At 46.4% G+C, this 13,467-nt stretch overlaps 1 protein-coding gene across 8 annotated transcripts in view; it reads left to right on the forward strand.

Annotated features, from left to right (window-relative positions):
- The window catches only part of PDPN (podoplanin), a 34,201-nt gene that overhangs the window by 10,670 nt on the left and 10,064 nt on the right, over positions 1-13,467 (forward strand). For all 8 annotated transcript variants that reach the window (NM_198389.2, NM_006474.5, XM_024451404.2 and 5 more), the window contains one exon: positions 12,747-12,880. In NM_198389.2, coding sequence (NP_938203.2) covers positions 12,747-12,880 — 134 coding nt within the window. The remainder of the gene's footprint in view (positions 1-12,746; positions 12,881-13,467) is intronic.

Here is a 13,467-nt window from a genome sequence, read left to right on the forward strand (position 1 = left end):
TACAGAAGCCACCATCTAGGGCAGCTCAGTCTACTCCAGACCTTTCTTTAGAAGTAGAGAGGAATATAACAGGGAGCTGGTCAAGAGTATTCAGTGCCTGTGAAGACACAGTGGTTGGGAGCATGGGTTTGAGAGTCTGAATAGATGGCAATGTCTAATCCATGCACTGGCACTTGCTCATTTCATGGGCAGTTGACTTAACCTCTTAGCCTCACCATTGTCAGCTAAAAAATGAGGATGATACTAGTTTGCAAGACTTCTGTAAAGAACAAGAGAGCTGCTGGGTACGGTGGCTTACGCCTCTAATCCCAGCACTTTGGGAGGCCGAGGTGGGCGGATCACCAGGTCAGGAGATCGAGACCACCCTGGCTAACACGGTGAAATCCCGTCTCTACTAAAAATACAAAAAAAAAAAAAAATTAGCCGGGTGTGGTGGCGGGCACCTGTAGTCCCAGCTACTCGGGAGGCTGAGGCGGGAGAATGGCGTGAACCTGGGAGGCAGAGCTTGCAGTGAGCTGAGATTGCGCCACTGCACTCCAGCCTGGGCGACAGAGCGAGACTCCTTCTCAAAAAAAAAAAAAAGAAAGAAAGAAAAAAAAAACGAGAGCATGCACCTGACGCCACAGTTTGCACATTCTCCCATAAATCCAGCAAATAGCACTTGTTATTAAAACACCTCGTGGATTGTCTTAGAGGTTAAATGCAAAGATCTGTGAAAGATACACATGAGATTTCAGTTCTTTCCCTCTTAAAAGGGGAGAGAGGATAGATCTGATTGAGAGATAATGTCATACCTGTATTATGTCATAAGGATCTTATATCCTGTCCCTTCCTGATGGTGTGGCTGTGAGCAAAACATCAATATTCAATTTGTCTAGTGACTTAATGTGACTCCTTGCTATTGAAAGGAAAATGGAGTCGCTCTCATTGGCCCCTCTTCTTCATTGCCCAGTTCAGCTGCAGAAACCCTCAAAGTGCTGCCCTCAACTTTGGGAGGTGACCCAGAGGGGACACCTCCCCCCCACCCCCAAGACCCCAAAGCAAACTCTGGGGCAGGGGGTACTGTGCAGACTGCCTCCCAGTTTGTAGTCAGGGAAAGCGGTTTCACATCTTCACGTGCTGGATTTCTCCTGATTTCTCCAGAGGAACTAGTGACACGTGTCTGATCTCCTCAGCTTTGACATGTTTCTCTTACATTTTACAGAAGAGTCACACGCCCCCAGTGCCGTTAGCACACAGTCAGGTCTCATCTCGTCATTGGTCTCATCCCACAGGGGTTGACAGGACCTGCCACAGTGAATGGGCATGGCGCTGCTCACACGAAATTGAACGGCAGGGCAGCCAAGTTCCCCTTTGCAGGTGCCGTGCTATCTTCAGCTATGCCGTCTCTTTCATTACAGGGGAAGGCGTTTAACAACTCGGGGGTGAAGCCTGGTGGACAGCGGCAGGGACATCATAAATACAGAAGATAATTTTAAAGAAGTGTTCCGGCCGGGTGCAGTGGCTCACAACTGTAATCCCAGGACTTTGGGAGGCTGAGGCGGGCAGATCACCTGAGGTCAGGAGTTTGAGAGCAGCCTGGTCAACATGATGAAATCCCGTCTCTACTAAAAATACAAAAAATTAGCTGGACATGGTGGCAGGTGCCTGTAATCCCAGCTACTTGAGAGGCTGAGATGGGAGAATCGCTTGAACCCAGGAGGCGGAGGTTGCAATGAGCCAAGATTGCACCACTGCACTCTAGCCTGGGTGACAGAGCAAGACTCCGTCTCAAAAAAAAAAAAAAAAAAAGTTCTACCTGAATGTATAAATGTACTTAGCTGTCACTCAAGAGGCATCTGCTAAATACCTACCATGGTGCCAGACTCTAGGAATCTATGGGGCAGTGTGGACTTCAGTTAGCGCTATGTACGCCTGGAGGAAAATTCAGTGAGGGGACATGTCTGTGGGTACAGAGTGGCAGGCAGGCCAAAGCCTAGATTAATTCACAGTTCTCTAGATTTTCCAGGGCCAAACTTTTGGTCCAGTAAGCAATTTACCAGACTCCATGGAAGGGGTGAAGGGGGAAAAAAGTTCACTGGCCACATCAGTGATTATGTCGATCACGACCAGTGGCTGCTTGAAGTTGAGGGCACACAGCTCTGGGTTAGGGAGTGGCTTTCTTCGTGTAAAGGAGCTTTGGGACTTCAGAGGTTAGTGGTTGCATCAATATTCAGACGAGGTCAGGCGTGTTCAGAGTGGTGTGGCTGTAAGCAAAACATCGATATTCCAAAGGAAGCCTTCAACAATAGGTCAGGAGATGGGCCGGGCTACAGGACACAAGGGACAACTCAAAAGGTACAGCTAATAGAGGGAAAATTCTAATGCCTTTCTCCTGATTGCCGGAACCCACTTCAGGTTGACTGAGGGAAGCAACAGCAAACAGCTAAGTTTGGGACATTTTTGAACTGAGCTGAAGGACTGTAGAGAGATATGAGCACCTCAGTGACTGCAGTGGGTGGCCGGCAGAGTGCTGGAAAATGTTGGAGGTTGGCACCTTTCTACTGTTCGGGGTGTGTTTATTTTCAGGCTTCTGGGCTCAGTTTTGAGACGTGATAGAAAAATAATATACAAAAGCCTGTGTTTGGGCAAAGGAACAGAAGTCGGTGTTTTTGTTTTCAAATAGACATTTTAACATCTCTTCAAAAGCATAACTTTATCTCAAATGTAATTGGGGAGGTGCTAGAATTAATTAATAGTTATCCTAGAGTTTGTTCTATAGGGGAAAACCAGAGCTTCCCAGAATATGAATTTTAAAAATATTCTGCTTCTCAATAGCCACAAGTCATTCCAACACCATTTCGTCATCCATCTACAAAGACATTTATTTGCACATTTAGACACTAGGGCAGCGCAAGATGCTACAAAACACTGAGCAACGTGAAAGACCCTTTTAATCTGTTGACTAATACCCTGGGTTTCCTTTGAAAATCCCGAGGGTAACTCAGCTTGTATCTTGTTTACTTTAAAAATCAGCATCACCAGTTCAAGATAAAATGCTGTAGAAACGGCTTCTCCAGCGTTCAGATTAGGGAGCTGCAGGTCTGCAGAAATAGGAGTGGAAGAAACTTCTCACTCACGTCAAGATGGAAACAGCACAGGAGCTCTTTAGCTAAATTTTATGTAGAGGACTTAACGAGAGGAAGTCCCCATCTAGACTCAGCATCGCAAAGGGGCAGCCTTCTTTGTTCAGTAGATCTGTTTCTACTCTAAATGTTGTTTGTCAGTAGAGCTGTAACAGGTGGTAAAATGAATTCTCACTTTGGGAGGCCAAGGTGGAAGAGTCGCTTGAGCCCAGGAGTTTGAGACCAGCCTGGACAACATAGTGAGACCCTGTGGTCTACAAAAAAATAAACCCAATTAGCCAGGCATGGTGGTACGCACTTATAGTCCCAGCTACTCGAGAGGCTAAGGTGGGAGGATCACTTGAGCCTGGAAAATCGAGGCTGCAGTGAGCCAAGATTGTGCCACTGCACTCCAGCCTGGGTGACAGAGGGAGACCCTGTCTCAAAAAAAGGATTCTACTGGGTTAGCATTTCTTTTCTTTTTTTTCTTTCTCTTTCCTTTCTTTTCTTTCGTCTCACTCTGTTACTCAGGCTGGAGTGCGTGGCACTATCTCGGCTCACTGCAACTTCTACCTCCCAGGTTCAAGCGATTCTCGTGTCTCAGCCTCCCAAGTAGCTGGGATTACAGGCACAAGCCACCACGCCTGGCTAATTTTTTGTGTTTTTAGTAGGGAAAGGATTTTGCCATGTTGGCCAGACTGGTCGCTAACCCCTCACCTCAGGTGATCTGCCCTCCTCGGCCTCCCTAAGCACTGGGATTATAGGTGTGAGCCACCATGCCTGTCCCGCATTTATTTCTGATCCTCAGTGGGTAATGACTTCAAATGCTCCCCAGCCATCACCTGTCCAGTTCTTATCCCTCCTCACTGCCAAGGTCCTGGTATAAGCACCAACCCCTCTCCACTGTCTTTCTTAGATAACAGAAAGAATCTAAGCTTCTCCCTGCTTCAGCCTGATCCTGGCACCTTCCCTGATACACACACACTATTCACTTACTTGACTTAGAGTGGCCTCTGGGACTCAACTGAGGTCATCCCCTCCTCAACATCTCCTGGCTTCCCTTCACACGCCAAATGCAACTGAAACCCCATCCTTAAAACAGTTCTACCGAACCACCGCTCCACACCTCTCAGCCCCATCTCTGTCCTCCTCAGCCCCTCCACCTGGCCACACTGACCATCCTCCCTCCCGTGCAGCGCCCCATGCTCGTTCTGGGCTTTGGGGTTAGTTAGCACCAGCTGTTCCCCTATCTGGAACTCACCCATTCACTCAACAGCTACTTACCGAGTGCCTGGTATGTGCCAGGGATTTCAGACATTGTGGACATTGAGATGAGGCAGCCTTTATCAAGCTTATATTCCAGTAGGACAGACAAGTAGCGAGCAGGTAGCAGGGTGGGGGTAAGCATTCAGGTATATGTGCCGTGGAAGAGGGGAGGGGTACTCGCTTAAATGGACAGTCCAAGAAAGTGCCCCCCCTCCTTTTTTTTTTTTTTTTTGGAGATGGAGTCTCGCTCTGTCACTAGCCTGGAGTGTAGTGGCGCAATCTTGGCTCACTGCAACCTCCGCCTCCAGGGTTCAAGGGATTCCCCTGCCTCTGCCTCCTGAGTAGCTGGGACTACAGGTGTGCACCACCACGCCTGGCTAATTTTTTGTATTTTAGTAGAGACGAGTTTTCACCATGTTGGCCAGGATGGTCTCGATCTCCTGACCGTGTGATCCACCTGCATCAGCCTCCCAAAGTGCTGGTGGGATTACAGGCGTAAGCCACCATGCCCGGCCAGAAAGTTCCCTGAGATCTGAAGGCATGAGGGAAGCTATCTTGATGTGTTCGAGAAGCTATCTTTTTTTTTTTTTTTTTTTTTTTTTTTTTTCAGACAGAGCCTTGCTCTGTCACCCAGGCTGAAGTGCAGTGGCGCAATCTCAGCTCACTGCAACCTCCACCTCCTGGGTTCAAGTGATTCTTGTGCCTCAGCCTCCTGAGTAGCTGGGATTACAGAGGCCCACCATCACGCCTGGCTAATGTTTGTATTTTTAGTAGAGACGGTTTCACCATGTTGGCTAGGCTGGGTTCAAACTCCCGACCTCAAGTGATCCGTCTACCTTGGCCTCCCAAAGTGCTGGGATTAATAGCTTATCTGATGTGTTGCTTATTTTTTTATGGTGACCCCACCCCACTCCAAGAGTACTCTAGTCCTTAAGAGTGGAGATCTTCCTTACCTATTCACTTCTCTGTCTCTAGTGATGAGAATGTGGCCCAGCTCTTGGCAGGTGCTTGGTAAATATTTGTGGAAGGAATATAAATGCTGGGAGCTGGGGCTGTAGAGGTGAACTCATGCAGGCTTCAGTCTTGGTTTTTGCTGCTGCCTTAACTTGCACAGTTAAGCGGGGAGAGGGCTGCTGCTGCTCAAAGCAACACCTCCTTTAGAGTGAGTCATACCTTCCTTCTAACCTGCCATTGCTGAAAGTTTAGATTCGTCCAGATTTCTCCTAGTAAGGGGACACACTGGAGGAGGTCAAGACTGTGGTCATTAAATAAGACTGGAAGATTCTAACAAGATGGGATTTCATAAGAGGCAGTGAGGTACCAGGGGAAGCAATTGTTCCTGACTACCAGGAACGTGATTTCTGGGAAGATGAGGATGGCACCTGGGCAGAAGGGGAAGGATCTCAGAACCCAGGGAGGGAGGCAGCAGGCATTTTAGCCCAAAGCTGCCGGGAGAGCACATCACGAAAATGCACAGCTGCTTTTTAGTTGTATGTTGGTGAGTCCAGGGATGCGGTTAGAATATTTGGCTTTGTGTCCGCTAATGAATCATGAACTTGGCACATCACTTAACTCTTTTTTTTTTTTTGAGATGGAGATTCACTCTTGTCACCCAGGCTGGAGTGCAATGGCACAATCTCAGCTCACTACAGCCTCTGCCTCGGTTCAAGCGATTCTCCTGCCTCAGCCTCCCAAGTAGCTGGGACTACAGGCCTGCGCCACCATGGCCAGCTAATTTTTGTACTTTTAGTAGAGAAGGTGTTTCACCACGTTGGCCAGGCTGGTCTTGAACTCCCGACCTCAGGTCATCCACCTGCCTTGGCCTCCCAAAGTGCTGGGATTATAGACGTGAGCCACCGCGTTGGGCCACATCACTTAACTTCCGACCTTGTTAAAGAAACACTAATTCTGACACTTGTTGAAATTGTACGGAAGACTTTAGTCAAGACCCCTGTAATAAGGGGCATTGCAGTAGGGAGGAGAGCTCAGGTTCACCTCTGGGTGAAAGGAAAAGTGGGGATTTGTAGCCCACAAGCAGAATGAGGGGATCAGTGGGTGGAAAATTCCTAAGAGATGGGGTTGGGGGGACTCTTGCTAAACTGGCCTAACAAGATTCTTTGTGAAGGCAGGCTAAGGGCCTAGCCACCACAGCGCTGTTGTGAAATAAAGTCAGCTGGGAGACGCCATGTAAACCCTACATTGTGAGTAGCAAATGTGAGAGGGTGTTAGGACAATGAGGTGTCTTCCACGTTAAGTGGAATTTACAATGCTGCGTCAGTGCCAGATCTTGAACGACCCCAAATGCACCTGTTTGAATACTTACTTTTCCTCCTTGCCCTAAACACTGAGTTTTATTCTAGCTACTCCCTGGTCACTGATTTAACTCAGCAGCTGTCAGCTGATGTGAGGAGGAAGAGGGAGCTTACAGTGAAGAGAGCACGGATTTAGAAACAGCTTCTGGAGACTCTGCAGACAGAGGGCCCATGTGGAGTGGGGATAGTTGGCAGTGTCCAGGCCACTTAAGCTGGGCCTTGTGCTAAGTTTCTCCTGTAACTGTGACATAGTATTTGTTTGTTTTGGGACCATGTCTTGCTCTGTCACCCAGGCTGCAGTGCAGTGGCACAATCTTGGCTCCCTGCAACGTCTGCCTCCTGGGTTCAAACGATTCTCCTGCCTCAGCCTCCTGAGTAGCTGGGACTGCAGGCATGTGCTATCCTGCCTACTTAATTTTTGTATTTTTAGTAGGGACAGCATTTTGCCATGTTGGTCAGGATGGTCTCAAACTCCTGGCCTCAGGTGATCTGCCTGCCTTGGCCTACCAAAGTGCTGGGATTACAGGCCTGAGCCACTGCACCCAGCCATGACATAGTATTGGAAAGAAAAGATTTGTCTCAATGACAGCTGGTTTTGAAGCAGTGGGGAAAAGAGGATTTATCAGGGTGATTGGCTAATCTTTTGGGGGGAAATTATATTTCTCTTTTATTATAATACTTCAAAATAAACAGACAAAAATATTAAACGTAAGTACAATACCATAAGGAAAACATAGGTGAATATTTATGTGATCTTGAGGAAGAGTTTGTGAGTGTGATGTCAAAGAGAAAACAAGTTTAAGAAGTTTGACTACTGATAGCTTGGTCATTTGCAAAAGAAAGATGTAGGCCGGGTGCGGTGGCTCATGCCTTTGGGTGGCTCATGCCTTTGGGTGGCTCATGCCTTTGGGTGGCTCATGCCTTTGGGTGGCTCATGCCTTTGGGTGGCTCAGCACTTTGGGTGGCTCAGCACTTCGGGAGGCCGAGGCGGGTGGATCACAAGGTCAGGAGATTGAGACCATCCTGGCTAACATGGTGAAACCCTGTCTCTACTAAAAAATACAAAAAAATTAGCCGGGTGTGGTGGTGGGCACCTGTAGTCCCAGCTACTTGGGAGGCTGAGGCAGGAGAATGGCGTGAGCCCAGGAGGCAGAGCTTGCCGTGAGCCGAGATCGTGCCACTGTACTCCAGCCTGGGCGACAGAGCAAGACTCCGTCTCAAAAAAAAAAAATGCCAGCAGCATTTAGGCCAAAGAATACATTCTTAAGGTATGAACAGTGCTTATAAGAGGGAATGCCATGTGACCATTACAAAAACGGTCACAAAAGAAGACAAATGGATGAAACAACTCGCTCCACAAATCAAAGAAGTGTAAATAAAACCAGAAGACTGAAATCACTTATTTAAAAGATTTTTATTAAGAATTTGGACTATTACAATAACAGCCTGATTGAATGTTACATCTAAACTCAAAAGTACTTCTTTTTTTTGTCTCCCAGGCTGGAGTGCAATGGTTCAGTCTCGGCTCACTGCAATCTCTGCCTCCTGGGTTCAAGTGATTCTCCCGCCTCAGCCTCCCCAGTAGCTGGGATTACAGGTGTGCACCACCATGCCTGGCTAATTTTTTTTTTTGTATTTTCAGTAGAGACGGGGTCTCACCATGTTGGCCAGGCTGATCTTGAACTCCTGACTCAGGTGATCCACCCGTCTCAGCCTCCGAAAGTGCTGGGATTACAGGCGTGAGCCACCGTGCCTGGCCAACTCTAAAGTATTTTTAAAGAAATGGCAGGCTGGGCACAGTGGCTCATGCCTGTGATCCCAGCACTTTGCAAGGCTGAGGTGGGAGGACTGCTTGAACCCAGGAGTTTAAGAGCAGCCTGGGCAATGTAGTGAGACCTTGTCTCTACAAATATATATATATATATAAAAATAAAATGAGATGTCATCTCTATAAATACAAAGGAGAGAGAGAGAAAAAAACAGAGAGAGATAGAAAGAAAGAAATTCTGTTTAAAAAAGAAATGCCCACTTTGGGAGGCCAAGGCAGGCGGATCACCTGAGGTCAGGAGTTCGAGACTAGCCTGGCCAACATGGTGAAATGCCATCTCTACTAAAAATATAAAAATTAGCTGGGCGTGGTGGTGCACACCTGTAATCCCAGCTACTTGGGAGGCTGAGACAGGAGAATCGCTTGAACCCAGGAGGCGGAGGTTGTAGTGAGCCGAAATTGTACCATTGCACTCCAGCCTGGGTGACAAGAGTGAAACTCCATCTCAAAGAAAAGACAAAAGAAATGCCATCCTGTAATGTGTGCAATCTAGCGAGTTATTAGACATGAATGCAAAGATAAAAGTTATTCATAGTTAGTGATTTCATATAAATAAGCATTGCTTACGTTTATTTGTTCTCAAAAATTAAGAACCCCAAGTGACAGTTGATTTATCAAATCATCTTCTCCTAGGAAATAGAAACTTCAGCCTAGCTTTTTTTTTTTTTTTAAGACAGAGTCTCACTTTGCCACTCAGGCTGGAGTGCAGTGGCATGATCTCAGCTCCCTGCAACCTCCGCCCCCCGAGTTCAAGTGATTCTCCTGCCTCAGCCTCCCGAGTAGTTGGGGTTACAGGCACCTGCCACTGTGCCAGGCTAATTTTTGTATTTTTAGTAGAGACGGGGTTTCACCATCTTGGCCAGGCTGGTCTTGAACTCCTGACCTCGTGATCCACCCACCTCCACCTCCCAAAGTGCTGGGATTATAGGTGTGAGCCACCGCGCCCAGCCCTGCCTAGCTTTTTTAAAATAATCACAACAACAACAAATTTCAAAGTAAGTGGATCGTTTGCTGCCGCATTTGGAAACTTCCACTGAGCCGTGTTTGGCTGAGGCTGGGTGTGGCAGGAAAGGGTGTTTATGTGAGCACGCTGGTACACCACTCCAGAACTGAACCTGCAAGCTAGGTTGTGGGTATTGGTTTATGATGGCAAATTCGTCACTCTACACTTGTAGAAACAATTGTGTGTCTGCACATATGTGCATCCCTGTATGTGTGTGTGTATGCGTGTGTGCGTGCATATGTATGCCTGTGCATACATATGTCTTGGGGAAAAGAGGATTGGAAAGTGAAGGCATCCATGATTTGAATTTCAGGAGGAAGGGGAAAAGACATGAGATGCTGGCTGGAAACTCGGCAGCTGGCCTAGTAGGAACTCTTCACCCAGGGAATCCTTCAGCCAAGATACTAAGAGGGACAATTGGGGATCTCTTGTTAAAGTTCAGCTTTCCCATGGAGCAAAAAGAATGCTAGGGCGGTGAGACAAAAGACATGCATCTTAATCCTGACTATCATTCATAAAACGCCTTTTGTCCATTCAGAGCGATTTTAGTACTTGGCTCTGTGGGCCAAGGGTAGAAAAGAACAAGAAGGAATTTTTATAAAGTTACGCTTTCAATGAACTGAGCTTTCTATGAAAGAATTCAATCTAATTTCATTGAGCACTTGATTTTTTTTTTTTAAAGCAAGGATTGTTTTAAGTTAGATACACCAAATAAGTAAGTGATTGTACTAAACCGCTCCAGAAAACGTTTTTAAAATTGATGATTTGTTAACTAAGTTCAAACCAGGTGAGGAAGAAATAAAATGGGAAGCTTAGTAAGTTTTTTAATAAGGACTACTTGTCTGGCAAAGGGATATTTCCCATTGAGCTCAATAAATACACAGTAAGCGTTTGCCTACACCACAAGTCATACATTTTTGTAGGAGCCAATCACCAACCCTCACCTCTACCCCTACTCCAGCAAAAGGCCACATGGAGAGGCAAACCATTTGCATGCATGGAAATATTCGGTTATTGCTAACTGGTAAACCCCTCGCTGTACACCCCCAGATTAAAAAAATGTGTAGGTAGCTCATCCAAAGCCATCTCTACTGGATTAGGACTCTAGAATAAAAGAGCAGGCTCATAGAACAAGTGAACTAACTTCAGAGGCTTCCTCTAGGCATCAAAGAAGCTATAATCAAATATTTATTAGCTGTGCCTCTGGCTGGGCTGTCTAAGCAGTGGGGAGAATAAGGTATCTTAAGGCAAGGAATGGATTGCTGATATAAGTGCTGTCTAAGCAGTGGGGAGAATAAGGTATCTTAAGGCAAGGAATGGATTGCTAATGTAAGTGCTGCCTAGAGACAAACAAACATCTGCTCTTTCATTACACAAAGAAATTTCCAAGCACCTCCCTCCCCCTCGCTCCTGGGATGTGTATGCTTGTTTATTTTGCAACTGTATTTAGTCATGGAATTTCCAGAACCACTGGAGTTTAGGGAAGAAGCCCATGGCCAGTGAGTCACATTTTTAATGCACAAAGAGGGTTGTTTGGTGATTTTTGGAGATGATAATTGAGCATGGTCATGACTAGTTTGGGTCACTGCAACAGAAGTTGAAGAAGAGGATACTGCTGTTATCTGCTCTATCTCTCATTGTAGAATTCAGCCTGGTAGTCCACTCCAATTCCCTGCTCCAGCAGAAACCTTTTTTTTTCTTTGAGACGGAGTCCTGCTCTGTCACCAGGTTGGAGTGCAGTGGTGTGATCTTGGCTCACTGCAACCCCCACCTCCCATGTTCAAGCGATTCTCCTGCCTCAGCCTCCCAAGTAGCTGGGACTACAGGCATGCAACCCCATGCCCAGCTAATTTTTGTATTTTTAGTAGAGATGGGATTTCACCACGTTGGCCAGGATGGTCTCGATCTCTTGACCTTCTGATCCGCCCGCCTTGGCCTCCTAAAGTGCTGGGGTTACAGGCGTGAGCCACCACACCTGGCCCAGAAACCTTTCTCATTGGCATGACACATCATTTGTCCAAATGTTAATGCGGAAAAGCCAGGGCCAAGGGCAGTTCATTAGTTTGGCTCTTTTTTTTTTGGAGATTGGGTTTCGGCTGGAGTGCAGTGATGCGATCTCAGCTTACTGTAACCCCTGCTTCCTGGATTCAAGCAATTTTCCTGCCTCAGCCTCCTGAGTAGCTAGGATTATAGGTGCCCACCACCACACCAGGCTAATTTTTGTATTTTTAGTAGAGACAGAGTTTCACCGTGTTGGCCAGGCTGGTCTCAAATTCCTGACCTCAAATTCCTGACCTCAAATGATCCACCCACCTTGGCCTCTCAAAGTGTTGGGATTACAGGCGTGAACCACTGCACCCAGCTAGTTTGGCTCTTGGTGTACTAAGTGTTCTGTTGGTGTCTTGGCATCCCTAAGCATATTACTGACCCTCCCCTGTAGACAGTAATCTCAACTGTAAAGTAAGAGGTAAAACTCCATGTAATCTACGAGGTCTGTGGTCAGAGCCTGTGGTTCTAATTGTCCAAGTGAACAGCAGTCTTAAAATTAAATGGAGAGAGAGTTTGCTTTTAAAAAGATGGAAGTTGGGTGTGGTGGTGAGCACTTGTAGTCCCCGCTACTTTGGAGACTGAGACGGGAGGATCGCTTGAGCCCAGGAGTTTGAGGTTATAGTGAGCTATGATTGTGCCTCTGTACTCTAGCCTCAGCAACAGAGGGAGAGCCTGTCTCTTAAGAAAAATTAATTTGAAAAGGTAGAGAAAAAAATAAAAAAATAAAAAGATGGAGACCCCGCTTTTGCATCGGGTCTGCAAAGGGGTGTGTTTAGAAATCTTTCCTGTTGACTCTAATTTAGAGTTTTTAGGTCCAGATGAATATATTAATTCATCATATGAAATGACACCAGGAAGAATCTGGTTCCTTATTGAAAAGGAAAGATGTACGTCCCCTGTCCAGGCCACCTCGATGGGGCCCCAGGGAGGGGCTGGCTGCTCTACCTTTTAATGTTTTCATTTTCCTTTGCTTTGCAACGGAGATAACCAGGGTGTTGATGTGTCAGAAGTGCTGCAAGGAGAATGGTTTGGTTTCTGGCACCACAGTAAGCCACAAAAAGGACCAAAAATAAAACAAAAATTTCCAAAAGAAATGGAAAAGAAAATAATCCGAATGTAGCCGACAAGTTGGGTCTGCTTATGCAATTTCCACCTTAAGCTCTGACTCAATCTTTCTTCTTCAGCCAGCACAGGCCAGCCAGAAGATGACACTGAGACTACAGGTTTGGAAGGCGGCGTTGCCATGCCAGGTGCCGAAGATGATGTGGTGACTCCAGGAACCAGCGAAGACCGCTATAAGTCTGGCTTGACAACTCTGGTCAGTGTCCTGGGAAGAGAGGAATTTTTTCCGTAGGCATGTGATCACATGCAAGGCTATGATGTATATTAATTTACTTTATATAAAAATATATCTATCTATAAAATCAGCATGAGCCACCATACCAAGGAATAGTTACGTGGCTCAACAAAGAAGAATAAGTCCTCACTTAATGTTGTTGATAGGTTCTTGGAAACTGTGACTTGAAGCAAAATGACTTAGAAAGAACCAACATTATGTGAGGACCTGCTGCATGTCATTTTCCTTAAAGTCGCAGTTTCCAAGAATCTATCAACAACGTTAAGTGAGGAGTTACTGTCTTTCCCAATTTCGTCCACTTAGCTGGTGTGCTGATCACAGGTGGTTGGAGAGTAGAAGCCAGAGCTTCTCAAATTGGTAAAAGGAGCCAGGATTTTACATTTCCAATCTGTTACAGCCCAACTTTCAATACAATGAAAGTTTTCTTGGGTGTTGTGGCAATGTCATTGCTATAAAGGGTTCTAAATATATCTTCTCAGCCGGGCGTGGTGGCTCACACCTGTAATCCCAGCACTTTGGGAGGCTGAGGCAGGTGGATCACCTGAGGT

The sequence above is a fragment of the Homo sapiens genome, chromosome 1 (assembly GCF_000001405.40).
Source record: "Homo sapiens chromosome 1, GRCh38.p14 Primary Assembly".
Classification (NCBI taxonomy): Eukaryota; Metazoa; Chordata; class Mammalia; order Primates; family Hominidae; genus Homo; species Homo sapiens.